This window comes from Homo sapiens, chromosome 15 (assembly GCF_000001405.40).
Source record: "Homo sapiens chromosome 15, GRCh38.p14 Primary Assembly".
Lineage (NCBI taxonomy): Eukaryota > Metazoa > Chordata > Mammalia > Primates > Hominidae > Homo > Homo sapiens.
Window position 1 is genome coordinate 96,260,094 of NC_000015.10, and position 19,787 is coordinate 96,279,880.

Sequence of the window (19,787 nt, forward strand, 5' to 3'; positions counted from 1 at the left end):
TGCATCACGGGAAATTCTCTAAGCAGTTAGAAAGAATGGGGTATACCTGTTTCTCCTAACCAGGTAAGATCTCCAAGACATGGATAAGTGAAAATAACAAATGCGCAATGATACATACGATATAGCACATTTTGGTGACTCATTTGGACAGAAAAGGGACTGGCAAGATGCACATCCTTGGTAACATAGATCACATCAAGGGAGGCAGAGAAGTCATAGCAAAGAGCACTTTAGCCTTATCCTCTAATACCTTAATATTTACAAGTAGAATAAGTATATGGTAATTGTTTGGTGTTCCAAAATTTATTTGAAAATTTTAAACTCCTTAGTTCTAAGGAGTCCCTTTTCGCATTAAATATCAGATCTTACACCAAAGACATCTTTCTTTCAAAATGATCATTTAAAAGTCAGTGAGGCACTGGTGTAATGCAAGACTTAATGGTTGAATAACAATAGAAAGAATGATAAATACATAGAGAGATAGAGAGACAGAGAGACAGAGAGATAGACAAATCAGCCAAGCTACTTGCATAGCCAGTTTCCCCAAGAGCTGCCAATTTTATGCAAGATTATTAAGGCGACTCTGTTCAATAAAATGATGGGGCCCCCACAAGTTAGGTAGTGTAGCAAAATAAACATCAATGGCATGCCACCAAACTGCCAACACAGGCAAATACTTGCATATGTCATATTTAAAAGGCAGAGTGAAACATCAGGAGGCTGAGATGAGGTCCAGGAATGGAGCCGATTTAAAATCAGAACTGAAGAATGTAGGCCAGGTGCGGTGGCTCACGCCTGTAACCCCAGCATTTTAGGAGGCCAGGGCGGGTGGATCACGAAGTCAGGAGTTCAAAACCAGCCTGGCCAAGATGGTGAAACCCCGTCTCTACTAAAAATACAAAAATTAGCCGGGTGTGGTGGTGTGCGCCTGTAGTTCCAGTACTCGGGAGGCTGAGGCAGGAGAATTGCTTGAACCCGGGAGGCGGAGGTTGCAGTGAGCCAAGATCATGCCACTGCACTCCAGCCTGGGCTACAGAGTGAGACTCCATCTCAAAAAAAAAAAAAAAAAAGAGGAATCTAGACTGGAGTTTATTCACTGGAATATTTTTCTAGGTTCAAAAATCAGTGGTAGCAAATTATTTTCTAAATTAGAAAGTATATCTGCAATACTTTCATATCAGTTCCCATTTAGAGGACAAGGTAGAGCTAATGCAGTTTTAATACAGTTTAGCAGTTAATGATTATTGGCAAAATCATCTTTTGCTCCCTTAGGACTTTTTCACTTAAAAACTTGATGGTGTTTGGGGTAAAATGTCGTAAGAGACATTCTAGCACATGACAGAAAAGAAAATATTAACTCACTATGTAGCCAAGAGATGGATTAATCTTCCAAGCAATTCAAAAAGAGAATTGGAACATGAACTCTAAAAAACAGTTCAAGTATCCTGAAAACTGCTAAAATAGCTCTGTTTGGTGAATCTCAGGTATTTTGGTCGCATTGCTTCAACTCCTTAATTCAGAAGTTAAGTTTTAATGTGAGTCATTTCAGTTTTCATGTATTTAAAAGTCATAACCACTGAAACAGTTTTTACAAAAATACTTCTTTGAGCCTAATGTTGAACACAGTCTGCACTGCTGAGCATGTGAGAGTCACTCTGGGAAAAGGGTGTTTAATGAATAACTTTACAGTAAAAGGCCTTGAAAACTTACTCTAAACATTAGACCCGTGCTTTCTTTCTGAAATACATTAACAGCCTCCAGAAGCCTCATAGATGCTGGCAAGCCCTTTTAGGCAGACTTTTGAAGTCCCTGACATTTGTGTGCAGGGAAAGGTGCCTGCCCGCTCTCCACCCCGCCCCCAGCCCCTCCCCCACCCAGGCAGTGTTTGGAGATGCTGTTGACTTAAGAGTTTTGCTGGAAAGAAAGATTGATAAAGCAAAGCAATCGGAGTTATTTTCTATGCATGAAATTGATTAAATGCTTCACTAAATGGCTTATAAATTTGCTTCTCATATTTCTGTCACCCACTGAAAAGATTACAGAAACTCCGCATATAGCTATGTTGTATACAATACCAAATTACAAAAGGTTGTAAAAACTAATGTTTTGTTTAAAGTTTTGAGCAGGACCATATGCCTTCAGTGACCTTGAGTAAGCTATTTTAATTCAAAACATTTCAAAGAATATAAAGGGGAGAAATATTCAACTACATAACAAACCAGACCAGTGGTGGGTAGATCTCCGTTAACTGTGTTGAACTTCTGCTCTTTTCTACGAGGGTGTAGAGTGAATCCCATCATACAAACGCCTTATGTCTGGAAAGCTTGGAAGCACATGTGGTGTCAATGGGGATATATTTACAAAGGAGATGAAAAAAGGGCTTTAGGACCTCCCAAAGTTGAACCTGCTCTATTATTTTTAGTTGAGAGACACATCCTAATGAGTTCTGAGTCTAGCAGAGACTTGTAAAACTATGTAGAAAAGGTGACAAATATTAACAAGGGTGGTGGGGTTGTTTTATTTTGGAGGAATTTTTGTTTGCTTGTTTTTAATCTTTACACGTCTTTCAAATGTCAGCTAAGTTCTATTCTTTCTACCATGTGACAATTTCTTCTAACTATTGTGTAACAGTTGGAAGGGATGTTAGCATAGAGACGATTTATAAGCAAGCAGGTGACCTGCAGATGCTATGGGGAAACTAGCCCTTTTCTTAACATGGCCTTAAAAGTACCTGCCCTGCTACAGGAAAAATGATATTCTTTTACAACATTTATAAGACATCATGTCCTCAGCAAGAATTAACATTTGGCATTAACGAACGCACAGTTCTGGCCATAACTTCAAGAAAAGAAATTTTACAACCAGTAATGTGCTTAAATCCTTCCTGACCTGCCCTCTGTAATACATATCCCCAACCTTTCACCTTCAGAAATAGCCAGTACGGGGACAAAGATGGCTACCACAGCTATGGCCATCTGGAGCCCCGTGAGCTAGAAAAGACGGGGGAAGTACTGTCAATGGAGGGGGCAGAAGTACTTTCTAACATCAGACCCAGCCCAATGCCCGTCTGCTTATGCAGCCAGTTTCTGGGTATAGGCAAGTATTGCACTGGAATTATCCCTCATATATGAAAACACAATGTAATCTCACTTAGCAAAACCCAGGTTTCTTTCTTTTTTTATGAGTACCTGTTCTGGGAGATATGCCAAAAATTCAGGGATAATTTAACCAAACCATCAACAACTGGACAACTTATTTAACTCTTTGGTGAGTGTTACATGAACCTTTTTGCTGGCGTCAAGCCACCACATAATGAATCCTGACGCCAGACACAGAGGGTTTGATACATTAGAATAAAGGAAGAGGTTCCTTACTATACAATATATAAAAGAACTAGCTTCTACCAACAGGTTGTTGCCATCTTAGAAAATAGGAATCTGTGTCTCCTGAAAGTCTATTCCTTGAACACCAATGCTACAAGCTTATCCTTTATAAAACGGTTTGGGTAATCAGATCTATTGAAGATCAAATGTCCTGGGGATTCACAGTGCATAGTAATGTGCTGGAGGCTTTGGGGGCCCTGCTGCAAACAATCATATTTAACTCAGGTTAATCTACTGTTTCTCACTTGACCCCGGACATTTTTTTAAATCAATGTTTTGAGACATGAAATTACTATTTCAAACGTCTTCTGGAGAACACTGATTTAAATCTACTGCATGGCTGACAAACGAGTCCACCTCTTTTGAAAGCTGAGCAAGCCCCTTTAGGAGGACCCTTGGCTGAATAAAGGAAGTCTCAACCCAACTGCAAGAAGGTCTTCGCCATTCCTCTTCTGAGGATATGCTGACCTTGGGCCGTGCATATTCTCTTCTTCTAATTAAGACACGTTGCATGTTCTGTGGCTACCAAAGACGAAAACAGTAGACCTCACCAATTGCCCATGGGTTTCACAAGTGGCACTGGTTACCTACATAAATATTTGTCATACATCAAATAAATGCTTCACGTACATTGATTTTTCTTATGGACTCCTTTTCTTTTAAGATTATGTACAAATCCACTCTCTCTTTCCACTTCAAATAATAGACAAAAGCTATGTTTATTCTTCCTATTCTATAACCAAAGTCACTCATACATCAAGATCATTCAAGAAAGCCTAGCAGTATGCAAGTGAATGAGAGTGGCATGACTGTGAAGATAATCTTGGATCTACTCTAATTTAATTTTTTTAAGTAAATCATTTGCAAACTCCAGCACTCTAACTAGTACAAGTAACAAATTACCCATGAGGAGCCTCAGAGGCTACAGGTGACAGAGCTGTGTTGCAACACCTTGGCAAGGATCTTTGTACTACAGCCTTGGTTCTCAAACTGTACAGTGCATCAGAATCACCTGAGGGCTGTGTTAAAACACAGATCTCTAGGCCCCACCCCTAGTGAGTTTCAGTTTCAGTGGGTTTAGGGAGGGGCCCAAGAATGTGCATTTGCAACAGGCTCCCAGGTGATAGGGATGCAGCTGCTCTGGCTGGGGGACAGCACTTTGGGAATTACAACTGTACAGCAGTTCCCTAATGCTCCCGATCAGGATTACCTGGAAACTTTGTTAAAAACACTAAGTCTCACCCTTAGCCCCAGACTCCTGAGATGGACTCTCTAAGAAGGAAAGTCAGGAATCTGTATTTTTAATAAACTCCCCAGGGGATTCAAATCATCCAGCTCTGGACTACTTCAGCCTGAGAAGAGGGGCTTGCCTTTTAGATCTGGGCCTGACGTCTTGAACCTTTGCCGGCCTCTGGGCACACGGACTCTCCCTGCTAGAGGCCCCTTCAAAGTGCAAGCAGGCTGAAGACACGTGAATGCCTCCTCCAATAACTTGTCCAGTAATTGGTATATTGATTGCTAATGTCATCATGTTTTAGTATATATAAACCCCTCACTCTATTACACAGCCCCCAACAATCCAAAAAGTCATTGTTTATTCATTGTGACTCCCAAACTGGCCCTTGTCAGCTCCTGCTGGAGAGCTTGCTGATAAAAATCAGCAGATGATTGGACGCACACATTCTTAACATGACTGACCCATGACATCTCAGAGGGCAGCTCGAGAGCCTGTCATTACAGTACAATACATTTCTTTCTTCTTTCTTATCTAGCCCAGATGACTTCGAGATTTTTATTAACTCATTAATGACTGAAGATGTCATTAGAACCAGTGGGAAGGGTTATTTTTCTGTCTCTCTCTCTCTCTCTTTTTTTTTTTTAAGTGGGAATAAGTGTGCAATTTGCTGGGAAAGGGGGAGGGGCTCATTGATGAAACAGCTAAGACAAACCTAAGTGGAGAGACCCTTGGACTTTATTAGAATCTGAAATTTGATTGACGGGTCCTGGACCTGAAAATCTGCAGACAGAAATACAAAGTTGCTTCAGAAACATGTTGGGAAGAATGGGACAATTTGATCAAGGAAATAGCGACCCATAAAATTCAGTAATTTTTATTGTGTTGTGGACTCAATCTTTCCAACATAACAGCTAAACAAACAAACAAAAACGTCAGAGTAAAGCTACTGAAACCTCTAAATGTTTCTTAACCTACACGTTCATTAAATCATATCTTGTTTCTGCGTGCCTTTAATTTTCACATCTGCAAAATTGCTTTTAGAAATCAAATTAGATCTTTTGAAGGCACTTAAATTGCAACAACCTTATGTTTTTTTATATACTCTTGGGTTTCAGCCTTTTCATCTGGGTTGTGTGTCCAATTAATGGGATATCTCAAGGAAGCACTAATCATTTTGAAAACTTAAGAATATAAAAAGCAAGCAGACTATTTTCATTATAACTGATTGGATTGAGAATAAGCTACAGAGGAAATGTTCAATAATTATGATAACTTTTTTGGAGGAGATCACAAAAGAATGTCAGTCACAGAAGGTGCTTTTCATTGTGACAAAGGCTTTCAAGTCCAGTTTCAGTAGATTCCTCTTCGGGGTTCAGCCTCAGGCATGTCAGAAGGCTGCTCTGAGAGTGGGTTTTACACTGATTTTTATCAGCCCCAGATAATTCACTTGGCAAAGAAAACATCTATTACTAGATGTATCTCATATGTTACTGAATGTTTACTAAATTTTACTACTGTCAAAACACATTGTAAATGAACAGACCCTCAGAAGAACGAGGGAAATCTATTCCTCAGAAGAGAAAATGGTTGTCTGAGGACCTACAAAGATTTTTGCCCAAGGAAATTAATGCCAGTAAACTATGACCAAGATTTAAATATGCTTTCAGCCAAGTTTTATGCTTAAATCACCTAATTACATCTTTCTTTCTTTATTTGCCTGGTGGAGAATTATATTCATTACATGTTATGGTAAACAGAATAATTAGTTAATATTTACGGATTAATTAAATACAATCATTTTATCTAATTCAGTAATAACGGTGCTGAATTTTATTTTTCACATTTCTGAACATGATGCCAAACACCCAGATGAAACCTAGGAGGAGAAAAGAGTCAAAAATCCAGATGTTATTAAAGATCCAGATGTATGGTATCAAGTAAACAGAACATCAAGGATTTTTACTTTTCTTTTTTCCATTTTCATCCAGATGTTTGGTGTCGTATAGACAAAGTCTTAATCTGTTCAGTCACAATCACAGCGTTATTTAATATCATTTGCCAATATTTCACTCCCTTCTTCACAAAATGATCTCTAAAAATCCTATGTAATGCATTCACGAGGAAAACAAGGATATTTTCTTCAGAAACAAAAATATAATGCCCAGTGGATTCATAAGACCAGATTACCATCCAGGATGGTGCCCAAGTCTCTATGTTGAAAAACATTTCATATCTGCATTTTTAAATGATGAAAGTTAATTCACCTTAAATGGTTGGAATGGAAACTTAATTTTAATTGACATGCACATGCGAATTTCAGTCCTAGTAGGTAGCTTTGGAGAATAACAGGCTCTCAAGTGTAAATGATGGTCATCTTTTCAATGGGATCCTTTCCCAATTCATTCACTTATCATTAAATCCTAAAAGAGATTACCCGCCATTTTAAGAATAATTTCTGCTTTGCAACTTTGGGTACCTTAAAGCACTGACCCAGGGACTTAAGAACTTGATGCTGAGCCCCAGCATCTCATTTTTCTGTGTGACCTTGAGCCAGTCACTTAACGTCTGAGCCCCAATTTTCTCTTCCTTAAAAAAAAAAAAAATTAAATAATAGACCTGATTCTAGTGAACCCAAGGATCTAAAAACAAGAACCTGGGGAGGGCAAAATCCTTTATGAATATAAAATTATCAGTAATACACGGACTATTTTGAGTTTTACATATCATTATTACATGAATAGTATTACTGTGTAAAAGTGTCATTACTATTAAAATGAAATCCAAGAGGGCACAGTAGAGACAGTCATGCTAACAAGACCTGGTCAGCTATTTACCATTTACAAATTAAATACAGGAATGACTATAATCCCTGGATGTGCAAAGCAATACCAGATTCTACTTCCTTGTGCTGCCGTGTTTCACCACGCTAAATCCGAGAAATAGTTTGAGTGCTACCCTTTTCATGGTACTAAACGGACTAATCATAAGGCATACTGTATCTCTGATTACAATAGGACACTTCTGCCAATCTAGGACCCTATGCTTGGCTGACTGGTGGACTTAATTTTGACAGACAAATGCACCCTCCTCCCTCCTGGCCAATGGCAAAGACTCAAGCCTTTGCATAGAGCAAATTGTTGCTGCTGAATATTCAAACAGATCTCATGGTTTCCATCATGGGAGATTGCTTCCACTTTTTTTTTCTGTTAGTAAAATGTACATCCTAGGAAGTTATCATCAAAGAACAAGCTTTTTGCTAACATTCCTCTGCACAGTATAAGAGGGTTTCTAAGTGAGAAATCAACTCAAGCACTTGTAAAATGCTAAGCACTAAAAATCTCTGAAACACTTTAGTCTTACACTTTTCTGTAATGGTGCCGAGATTTTGGGAAGAGACATAGAAACTTTTGAGCTGTGCGTTTAAGATATTAAAAGATTCTGGAAGTACAACAAAGGGAATAAAATAAATGAAAGGAAGATCACTTCATTAATTTTAACTTTAAAAAAAATCTGCAGTGTCAAGATGCTACAGTCAAAAAACAAAAACAAAAACTCACACATCAAGAAATTTCTTTCAAAGTTTAGCCCAACTGTTTGCTCAATTATATGACTATAGAGAAAACGGGATGAATAATCAAGTTTTAGTTCTTCAACTTTGAAGGCACAAATCGCTCATTAGCATGTTGCTCTGTTTGATGCAACTTATTTTGAAGAGCCAGAAATCAATACAAAAGGAAACAATAATAATAAAAGGAAAGATTTCTACTGTCATAATAGGGAAAGGTGTGTGAGCTGGAAGAAAGTACAGTACAGAAGCCCATGACAAGTCATGATAAATGGGTCGTTATAAAATTCACGTTTAGGCAGCACCAGGCCGCGGATAATGCCATTCGTCATGGCAACACGAGGCCGCTAATGAGCCCTCATTGCATATTCATGTTTGTGGCGTTTCTTCCCTCCCACCCTGAACTAGTGCCTGCAGATATCTCCACCTCAAGCTGACGCTCAGCTTAGGTCTTCTTCTTCTTCTTCTCTCTCTCTCTCTCTTTTTTTTTTTTATTTGTTATGTTGCAGCAATTACACTGTAAAAGTGCTGCCCAAGATTGATTGCTCTGATCTGTAGTTCAATTGTAAATTAGAATACACATCCCCCCAGGGACACACGGCCCCTATTTGTGATTAAGAAAAAAGCCCCATAATAGACTAATAGCTAAAGTTCTCTCTCTTTTACTTTCAGGCAATTAGCTTGATGAAATGGCCTCTTTTTGTGTACCCTGGAAGTGTAAACCGATATCATAATGAAGTATATGATGTTTATTCTATTATTTTCACCTTGCTGGATATGCAGGAATGCATAAGTAATGGCTGCTTTGTCTAGTACGTTTACTGATTCACAAGTAAACTATTTCTTAAAGATGCAGTGTACGCTTTCTGAGGCTTGAGTTAAGCAACTCCTAACTGTGGATTAACCTTCACGCAAATGTCTACTGCAGGGGAGGAAAACGAATCCCCTAGGTTGGGGGAGAGCATGATGCTGATATTCAAGAGGCCTCCAGCCACTGGGGCAGCTCTGGGATGGATGTAGTGACAAAGTGCAAGTGCCAGCACTCAGGATCACTGAAGACACCAGGGTACTTTGGAAAAGTGTCCTATAGTGATTTTAGGCCCAAAGAGACTCCACCTGACTACAGTGTACCCTTCATCTCCCCCAGTGACTTGTGGAAGACCAACTCGCTCTCGGCTGTAGGGTGGCTGAAGCTCTTCCTACACAATGGTTATACAGTCTTTTTTTTAATTATTATTGGATTGCACCCTTGCGCCCACCCCCCGGGAAAAAATAAGTCTTGCCAAAACGTTGGCAAGAAAATATTCTTCAGCTTCCTACATGCACCAGCTGACACAGAGCCAATGAATCCACTTGCAGTTGGTGCATTATCAAAGCTATTTGTGTTCTTCCTATGCAATATTTCAATATATGTTTTGTTTTCATCCATGAGGATCTCAAAATTAGAGAAAAAAAAAGGGTGTCCTACATGAGAAGATAGAAAAAAAATAGAAAAGAAGAAATAGAAGAAAAAAAAAAGAAAAACAAAAATCTATCTTGCTCTAAAGCGTTTTATGGTGGGTAACTTACCAAGATGTTAATTACTGCTTCAATTCTACATTCCAATTGCCCCCGTTCATCCATAACCCAGTTTGTTTCACCTCTCAAACCCTTCCTAGGTTTGTGTTGTCTAAACAAATCCATCCTTCTCTTCTTTAATATGGATCCAATTTGAGTTTCTAGAAAATATAAGGAAATCACTTTTACGGCAAAGGATCTCAATAATTTTTAATGCTGAGTTTGATGTGCACTTTTAGATGTCTTACATTTTGAAATTAATATGTGAGATAGTTGTTTGTCACATATAAAATGTGCTTGCCTTTCCTCCAGTTACGTAGCTCCTTCTTGATTAAATAAAACATTTTGGGGAAAGTTTGTTACTATTTTCTGGAAAGTAATTCTATTGTCACATAATTTCCAAAAATACTGCAAAGTGAGTTACCAAGAAATATTTCATGAAAATTTGCTTTATGCCTTCTTTTCTAAAAATCAAAAGTTTTTATCAATCTTTATTTGGGGGGTTGACTTTCTCTTTAATTTGTACAACATTGAACTGCCTTCTAAACTATAAGCCTGCAACACAATAAGTGTAAATTTTCACTGCTCTCAGAAACTTTTGAATGTCTAGCCATATTGCCATATTTGAAATATGCTATTTTCAATTTTCAAATGATATTGAGCTTGGGTAGGGCCTCTCCATTCACTTACATAACCTGTCATATTTTTAAGTACACTTTTTCTAGAATAAAAATGCCTCCTATTTACAAGGTGCTTTATAATGTTTAAAGTTTTTTCAGATAGATTGCCTTATATAAATAATTCTATGAGATAAATGAGCCAAATAACCTTATTATTACCACAAAGTTAGTGGGGGAGAAATTATGACTCAGAGAGGTTATGCAACTTGCCCAGAGTCACAGGTTAGTAAGTGCCAAGTTGATCCTTGTCCCCAGGTCTTTAACTCCAAAACGTGAGCTCTTTCTGGTACGCAATGCTGCCTCTTCACTAGGTATACATTCCAGAAGCAGCAGCTCACCAAAATCTCACAGCTCTTAACATAAACAAGATCTGTGATCTTTATTTATACATGGGCAAGATTAACAAATGAGTTTAAAGACACATATGTGCGCACACACACAAGCCCTTCTTGATAAAAACACCCAGGAAAAAAGGTAATGAAATTCACACTGCTGCTGGGCACGGTGGTTCACCCCTGTAATCCCAGCACTTTGGGAGGCCAAGGCGGGTGGATCATGAGGTCAGGAGTTCGAGACCAGCCTGGCCAAGGTGGTAAAACCCTGTCTCTACCAAAAAATACAAAAATTAGCTGGGCATGGTGGCACATGCCTGTAATCCCAGCTACTCGAGAGGCTGAGGCAGGAGAATCGCTTGAACCTGGGAGGTGGAGGTTATAGTGAGCCGAGATCGTGCCATTGCACTCCAGCCTGGGGGGTGACAGAGGGAGACTGTGTCTCAAATAAACAAACAAACAAACAAAAAACTGAAATTCACACTGCATTATTACCTACCAAACAACATTTAAGTAATCTACGTTAGATTATAAACATATGCTTAGACTGGGTACATACCAGGCACAAAATTGAAGCAATTATCTACATAATTGAAATTCGAGGGCTGGGGGATTACCACTCTTCTCACAGTCCATTAGTTGGTTTTGTATGTCCAGAGATTTGGTTGAGCCTTTTCACTAAACATCTCTTCAGGCCTTTGCACTGCTATTCCCTCAGCCCACTCTTAAACCATGTCACGTATGTCCATCTGAGTAACTCAATCCTGACCACCAATCTAGATTCAGCTCAAAGATCACTTCTCCCTGGAGACAGTCCCTGACTTCTATCAATCCCTTTATCCCTGTGTCAAATACCTCTTTGCTTTGCTCTCCACTAAGGAGCCTCCTTCATCCCAGTTTTGAAGCCAGTGAAGACAGGATTCTTGAAGCCAGTGAAGACAGGATTTGGATCTAGAATTCAGCAGATATAAACATTTTAAACTGTGTGCTAGACCTGTCTGCCAAGGTACCTCCCATGCTCAAGACCCTCTGTGTACCAAAGAGCCACGTTCAGAGCCCCGGGATTAGCAAAGCAGCTCTAGGCTATTCTTTGCAAAGTAATGGCCACCATTTCAGTCAGCAGTGGGCATCTAACCTACGGTTTGCCCATTGTTGGAGTAGCCTTGAGATGACAACTTCACCAATAAAACACCTAGAGCAGAAACCACTGAAGTACACAGAATCATGTCGGCCATGAATTTTTTTTTTTTTTTTTTTTGAGACGGAGTTTTGCTCTTGTCCCCCAGGCTGGAGTGCAATGGCGCTATCTGGGTTCACTGCAACCTCCACCTCCTGGGTTCAAGCAATTTTCCTGCCTCACCTGCCTCAGCCTCCCAAGTAGCTGGGATTATAGGCATGTGCCACCACACCCGGCTAATTTCTAATTTTGTATTTTTAGTAGAGACGGGTTTTCTCCATGTTGGTCAGGCTGGTCTCACAATCCCCAGGTGATCCGCCCACCTCGGCCTCCCAAATTGCTGGGATTACAAGTATGAGCCACCACACTCAGCCCAGCCATGATTTTTATGCAAAATGATTGCTGCCTGAACTTGAGAAAGAAATAACTCCAGAAATGATCCCAAAACACTCTATAGATACTTCCAAATCTCAGGTGTAGCATTACCTAAACATAGAAGAAATAAGGGCATATGTCACTATTTCTTTCATTTATTCATGTTTTCATTGATTCAATAATTCATTCAACAAATGCTTATTGAGCCTTCAGGAGATAATCATAAAAATGACATCATTCTGGCCCTCATGGAACTTACAGTTTAATGGGAGAGATAAATATTATATAATCGCACCAATGAATAGAAAATTGCATACAATAATAAATACACAAAGTAAAAGTAAGAATAAAGTGGAACTTACAGTGAAGCCTTCATATAAACAAGTGCTTCAGCATAGAAGGTCTTGCAATAGAAGCCTGAAGAATGAGGTTATAGATAAAAGTATCAGGAAAAATGAAAACATTTCCAAAAACATGTGGAAAGGTCCAGGAGTAGGAAACAGCTTGGAAGTTAAAGAAATAATAAACAGGCCAGCATGCTTGGACCACTAGGACCTGGAGATAAAGCAGAACGTGATGAGACATAGGTGAGCAGAGCCACATCACAGAGGGCCTTGTAGACCACATGCTTAGGTAGGAATTTTGGATGCCACCTTAAGTCTAGTGTAAAGCAATTGAGGGGTTCTAAGCAGGAAAGGCCGATGATAAGACCCACAGCAGCTTAGAGGGTGATAGTGTTGTCTCATTTTGAATAAGAAACCTCAATTTGTTAGGAAAGAAAAATACAACTGTTATATTTTTCCAACACCAACTAACCAACCATGCTCTAGGAAAACACTTCACCTTCACTGGGGGAAAGCAAACCCCTCTTCACCCCATGTCTTATGTGAGCCCAACACCAGGCCTGCCAGCATTGAATGGAGAAGATCTGACACCAGGTATGATATCAAAGAGCTTTTTTTTTTTTGAGACAGAGGCTCACTCTGTCACCCAGGCTGGAGTGCAGTGGTCACTGCAGCCTTTACCCCCTGGGCTCAACTGATCCTCCCACCTCAGCTTCCCGAGTAGCTGGGACCACAGGTGCATGCCACCATGCCCAGCTAATTTTTGTATTTTTTGTAGAGAGGGGGTTTCGCCGTGTCACCCAGGCTGGTCTCAAACTCCTGAGCTCAAGCCATCCTCCCACCTAGGCCTCCCAAAGTGCTGATATTACAGGCATTAGCCACCACGTCCGGCCTTCAAAGAGCTTTTGAATCAGTTCTGAGAAACATTGACTGCTCTCGTGACGGCAAGCCATCTGCTCAAATGCGATAGCACAACTAGAAGATGCTTTACGGGGTCTGCATGAAAAATAGTCAGAGATTGGTTCAAAGAACCCATAAAGTAGTCATGCTGAGCGTCTTGAGATGCTGGCCTTGACCTCATGACACACTCCTGAGTCACTTTCCTAGACCCACTGATCTGGTTAGGACCCACCCACGCCGAACCACAGCTCCCTGTTAGAGCACGTTGCTGTCATCGCTCATTAATGGTCTTATCTCCTGCACTCAGCAGTGAGCTCCACAGAACAGGAAGAGCATGCATCTTATTCACCTAATGCCTAATGCCTGATACAGTGCAGGGCACTTTTAGGTGCTTAGTCATATTGGTGTGTTTCATTTGTGTTATGGTATGCAGCTACGTGTTGTAATTGTTGATTTGATTTTCTATCTCCTCCTGTGAGTTCTTCGCGAGTATAATCCATGCCTCCATCTTTGCGTCTCCACTTTATCAAAGAGGCTGGCTCATAGTTGGCACTTGATTCGGATTGATTAATTGATTAGTTAATTAACGTATGGCTAAAGCAATTAGGTATAAAGGACCTTCCTAAATGCAACCAGCTCTACTTCTCTTTTAGTCAATCACAAGATGCGTAAAACCACATTGTCTGAGAATCTTGCATATCATCAATATTCATTGGTGAGAGATGCTTTCTTAACGCTGGTGTTTTATGCATTTCTACATGTTATTATACACCCCAGAAAAGAGTGCATGTAAAACTGCTGAAGCCTGAATAAAGCCTCTAACTGAGTTAACAATATTGAATCAATTTCCTAATGTTTAGAATGTGCTGTGGTTATGTGAAATGCTGTCTTTGGGGAAAGCCGGGTGAAGGGTACAGGGGATCTCTCCGAATTATTTTTACAACTTCAGTGAGTCCTATATTATTTCAAAATAAAATGTGATAATTTTTAAACACTTTCTGATTTTTATGTTTATACTTTTACATATATTTGCATATATTTCTATAATATCTAAAATGTAGTTGAAATGTCACAAATAATAATTAAATGATGTTATCATATATTACACTAGCATACAGGAAAGAAAATGCCCTAATTTGGGGCACTATTCTTTTTGTCTGGCTAGGTTGGCATTTAAAATATGCTAGGAGAGGAAGGAGATGCATTACTTTTGCCTGATTCAAGCATATTTTCGAAATGATGTTTTCATAAACAAAGTGCCAACAGCTATGATCTTATCTTCTCTCTTCTTTTTATCCTAATTCAGGTCAATAACAAGTATTTCTGCTCTCTTCTGCAGATTCTAGGTTTTGGAAGAGAGGATGCAATTATGAGCAACGGGGAACTGTTAGTGAAAAATTCACCAAGAAGTCAGAGAGTGCCTTTAAACTTCTTTCTACCCAGTGTTGTCCTATTAAGAAAATAATGTCAGTTTCAGAGAGTGATGTTTTAAATAAATAAGGCTAGCGTTTACAGTAGCGCTGGAGTTTTAAATTACATGTTCAAGATCCCATTGTTGGTTACATGGATAACAATGTAGGTGATCACATCTAAACTCTGAAACATGGTAGGCAATTCTTCTACTACCTGAGAGATCTGAAAGCCACCAACAAAAAAATCCATACGGCAGATTAAGGTAAAATTTCAATATGTCTTAAACTGCTTAAACATGTAAGTTCAACCCCCACCCCCCCCAAAAAAAACACTCTTTTAGCATAAAGAGCTGCAGTTTCCAATCCTATTCAATTAATTAGTTTCCTGTAGTCAATCAAATGAAAATTCTGAAATAGCCTGTAGATGTCATAAACCTAAAGTCAAATTCAAAGATGAATGACATTCTCCCACACGCTTCCTTCTTTTTCTGGAAACTGCAAACTCATTAGTAGGTACATCTAAGAAGTATACCTGCCCAGAAGTCCCTGTAGTTTTGTGATAACCTATGTAAAATAAGTTCGGCTCAAGGTATGGCATGGTAGCTTCATCCTACAGACCCACCGGTTTATCCCGGAGAGATTCTGAAGGACAAAGTAAAATAACCAGGTGCAGGAAAAGAGTGCCTCTCTGCTTGCTAAAGCTCATTAGAGAAGGGCATCCATCTTTAGTCCTTCAGGATAATATCCATGAGCTGTAAAAATAGAGTTTTACTTAGTAAAGGAAGGGGAGAATAAATGCAAGAATGTTCTTAGGATCTGGCGTATTGAATCATGAATCAAAGAAGAAGAAACTATAATTACCTCTCGTTCCATCGAACAGAGAAATTTCTTCCACACGATCTTTTGTGTGGCAAGGATAAAGCTTCATTCCAGAGAAAATCCAGTTAAAATATCCCAAAAGAAATAAAATACAAGATCCTGCAGCTCTTTAATGCTTGCTACTGGCCAAATCCTGCAATTAGAATCAGTCACTTTAAGTGCTGAAGTCGTACAACGCTAATAGATCACTTTCTAAAGTGAGCAGTTTTTTAAAGTTGTATTTAATTTTCCATCATTACAGTACTGAATGCCAGTTGTGTCTGTCCATTCTGATATAGGTTCTTAAATCTCCAAAGGGTACAGACTACTGCTTGCCTAGGCATTGCTTAATTCTGGCTTTAATTCTCAGAGACCTGAATTAGAGCTGTAAAATGGAATGTATTTCAACTTTTTCCCTAAATGTGTTTATTTTTATTTTCAAACCAAATGATTAGGGCTCCTTTTTATTTCATAATTATTTTATTTCAAAAAAATAGAAATTGAGGTGAGGTGTGTATGTCTGAATGTGTGTGTGCACATGCACATGTGTGTGTGGTTTTAAGAAAATGAAATGAACCAGAAAATAAGCCCTTAGCAGTAACCTAAGAAATAAAACAAAATCATTTACAACACATGGGATTGTTGCAGGATATGTCAAGATTAGATGGTTTTAAGGGAGCTATCCTGAATGTGGAAGCAATTATAATGAAATTCATGACTCATTAGCAAACATTCCATATTGTGTTTCTCATTTCTGGGTCAATGTTACTAGAAAATATAGACTTAAGATTTAGATGTTTCATTGACTTCAATGCCAGATTATAGATAGTTGGGTTGTACAATGACATAAAGCAAAGACTCCAGGATTTTGAAGTTCTTCACTTCTCAGATATAGGCAATTTGGTCTTAAGATACCTATGAGCAAAGTAACTTCAAAAATGTATTGGTAAGAATTAAGTTGGTGATAGAAGGGTTGTCTGTAAATGTAAAGAATTACCTGGTGCAAATGCATACGGGTGGATGTCGGTGGGGATTTTGCGTGCACACTGCTTGGTATGCAATATGGCTGGTGAACTCAAGTACCCAATACTGTACGTAATGGGAACCAGATGTCTAACAGAGAGAGAAAAATATTTTATAGCAATAAATGTGACATTGACTCTTAAAGGGTTTGCTGTTTTTAAACAACTTCCCAGTCTTACTTTCCCTCATATTTTAATGTAGTTTAAAGTAGATTGTGTAAGGAAATTATTTTCACATTTTAAAAGAAAAAGCATTTAACTTGCCACTAACTTATAAAATGCAGACATAAGGAGAAATGATCTGAATAAGATAATTTTGGAATTCATTCATTTACAAAAGCACTATGCTCAGCAATGTAAAAACTAAAAAAAATATTAAGGCAAATAAAGCATAATTCCTCCTGCCCTTAAGGAACTCAAAACATGCTAGATATGATAAGATGCACATAACTGGATGGGGACATGGCAGAAGCAAACCCTAGGAAAGACGCCCAGAGTGCTCCGAGAATTCCAAGAAGGAAAAGAAAAGGCGATGCGATGGCCAGCAGGTTCCATGAAGGAGGGTCCCGCTGGTCCATCCTGTATCCTGTTCAACATCTCCCCCATCCACCCCGTCCTCTTCACGTCACTAGGCCACCTTGGTGAAGGCCCTCCTGCTCTCTGGCCAATGCAGGGGTCTCCAGTAGCTCGGCAGCTTTGCTCTCTCAGTGTCCCCACACTCACACTCCATGCAACCCTGACTTTGCTGCCAGGGTAGTTGTTCAGAAGCACTAATCCAGCTGGGAAGTGGGGTGCCCCGATGATTAGATTGCAAGCTCTGTAATGAAGCTTGGGGTTCACTTCCTGCTTTGATGTTTATTGGTTGTGACCTTGGAGAAGTCACTTAACCTATCTCCCTCGATCTGCTTTTTCGCCTCTGTAACAGCACATGTATTATATGCTTGGAGTCAGGATTTCACGAGCTGCTGCACACCATGTGCTTTCCACAGCATCAGCATGGAGTCGGGGCACTGTTGGAAACTCTTTTAGCTGTTATCTGATCAGTCATCCAATCCAGTTTGTTTGTTTGTTTGAGACAGAGTCTCACTCTGTTGCCCAGGTTGGAGTGCAGTGGCGCGATCTCGGCTCACTGCAACTTCTGCCTCCCAGATTAAAGCAATTCTTCTGCCTCAGCCTCCCTCGCAGCCGGAACTACAGGTGCCCGCTACCATGCTCAGATAATGTTTGTATTTTTAGTAGAGAAGGGGTTTCGCCATGTTGGCCAGGCTGGTCTCGAACTCCTGACCTCAAGTGATCCACCAAACTTAGCCTCCCAAAGTGCTAGGATTACAGGCATGAGCCACCACACCGGGCCGAATCTAGTTTTTACAGAGCAAAATCCAAAGCCTCTATTTCGGTATGCGAGACTGCTCGTGAGCTGGCACTTGCATATTTCTCCAATTCTTTCTCTTGATCCCTTCCATTAAATACTCAACTTTCTTGCTATCCTTGTCAGCTTGTCTTTGTCCAAGCAGGCCTTCTGTGCCCAAGCCCCATGCCTCTGCACATGCTGTTGCCCCTGCCTTAGGTGCTCCACCTCCCTTCTTCCTCTCTACTTTGCAAATTTCTGCTTACCCTGCAGGTCTCCCCTCTAGCAGATCTTTCTGATCTTCCCTGATATCCTGTGAAAGAACAAGAGCCTCCTTCCACTAGGCCATGTTCTTAAACTCACAGGGCCCACACAAACAGCATAAATAAATGAAGCAGTACAGGATAAAACTGTAAGGAGTAGTGGGGACTGTAGTTAAAAAGGAGAACTCATTTATTTCTTTCTTTTTTTTTTTTTTTTTTTTTTGATATGGAGTCTCATTCTGTCACCCAGGCTGGAGTGCAGTGGCACAATCTTGGCTCACTGCAACCACTTCCTCTTCTGCTTCCCAGGTTCAAGGGATTCTCCTGCCTCAGCCTCCTGAGTAGCTGGGATTGTAGGCACCTGCCACCACACCTGACTAATTTTTGTATTTCAAGTAGAGACAGGGTTTCACTATTTTGGCCAGGCTGGTTTCGAACTCCTAACCTCAAGTGATCCGCCCACCTTGGCCTCCCAAAGTGTTGGGATTGCAGGCATGAACCTGTAATGGGATTACAGACATGAACCATGCCCAGCAGGAGAAGTCATTTCATTCTCTGGTTAAAAGATCAGCCATCCCTCACTGTTACCATGGTGGAATAGGGGCTAATTATTGTCAATTCTTTCATTTTTTCAAGGTAAGACAGAAATCTGTATTTTTATCTAAAATCTCCAGTGTTCATTGTTGGTAACTAAAAAGAAAAATCAAATACTATGACTTTAGAACAACTAAAACCCCCCGGGGACCAAGTGGCTAACTGCATGCAGACCTTGGCTCATGGAATGCCTTATTCTGGGATTTCCTTGCAGGTGCACACCACCAATCTGGCAAATTTAACTTTGCCCTCTAATTGTTTGCACATCTACTTCCCCAACAAACGATGCTCTTGAGGATAAGGATCATGTAGGGTTACCTTTGTCTTCCCAAGTTGCCTAGCACAGTGGGTGGCTCAAAGAAGCATCTCACTAAATTTCATGTGGATATTTTCCAGAGCCTTGAAGCCGGGGAAGGGTCTGCTGATGGCAGGTCATTCCAGGCACATTAAAAGATAAAGATATTCCAAATGTCCCCGTTTCTAGAAAGGAATGATTTTACAGATACTGTAAGCCTTAGTCTACATTTGACTTCCTCAGGACCATCTGGAACTCTTCCTATGATGGCTGCAAAGTCCACTCCATCACTGGCAACACTCCAGCCAGCTCTCAAAATATAAATCTAATCCATAAATCTAGGCTATATATAAACTTAATCTATACCTGACAAGTAAGTGAATACCTAAATGAATTAATTAACTTTACCCAAAGAGTCTCAACTCAAATGTCAGATGTGATGTTT

General features: G+C 39.8%; 2 long non-coding RNA genes across 3 annotated transcripts in view, besides 2 other annotated features; one reads left to right on the forward strand and one right to left on the reverse strand.

The window, feature by feature from the left end:
* Nucleotides 1-15,060, forward strand: part of LOC124903584 (uncharacterized) — a 31,799-nt gene extending 16,739 nt beyond the window's left edge. The window contains exon 2 of the long non-coding RNA XR_007064801.1: nt 14,890-15,060. This is a non-coding gene — a long non-coding RNA (uncharacterized LOC124903584). The remainder of the gene's footprint in view (nt 1-14,889) is intronic.
* Nucleotides 1-19,787, reverse strand: part of NR2F2-AS1 (NR2F2 antisense RNA 1) — a 200,002-nt gene that overhangs the window by 132,734 nt on the left and 47,481 nt on the right. Inside the window, exons 6-8 of one of the 2 annotated variants that reach the window (NR_102743.1) lie at nt 11,610-11,705; nt 9,755-9,903; nt 6,293-6,496 (exon numbers count right to left, since the gene is read on the reverse strand). The exons of the other annotated variant lie outside the window; for it this stretch is intronic. This is a non-coding gene — a long non-coding RNA (NR2F2 antisense RNA 1). Of the gene's footprint in view, nt 1-6,292; nt 6,497-9,754; nt 9,904-11,609; nt 11,706-19,787 lie in introns of those variants that run through there. 2 annotated transcript variants of the gene reach the window in all.
* Nucleotides 8,228-8,842: an enhancer, noted in NCBI's record as "OCT4-NANOG hESC enhancer chr15:96811550-96812164 (GRCh37/hg19 assembly coordinates)". NCBI's record gives its function as "activates a minimal SCP1, AML or CMV promoter by ChIP-STARR-seq in primed H9 embryonic stem cells {active_cell/tissue: H9 hESC(primed)}" and the evidence as "EXISTENCE:reporter gene assay evidence [ECO:0000049][PMID:30033119]".
* Nucleotides 13,112-14,311: an enhancer, noted in NCBI's record as "P300/CBP strongly-dependent group 1 enhancer chr15:96816434-96817633 (GRCh37/hg19 assembly coordinates)". NCBI's record gives its function as "activates an origin of replication core promoter dependent on BRD2, BRD4, P300/CBP, MED14 and CDK7 cofactors, with strong dependence on P300/CBP, by STARR-seq in HCT116 cells {active_cell/tissue: HCT116}" and the evidence as "EXISTENCE:reporter gene assay evidence [ECO:0000049][PMID:35650434]".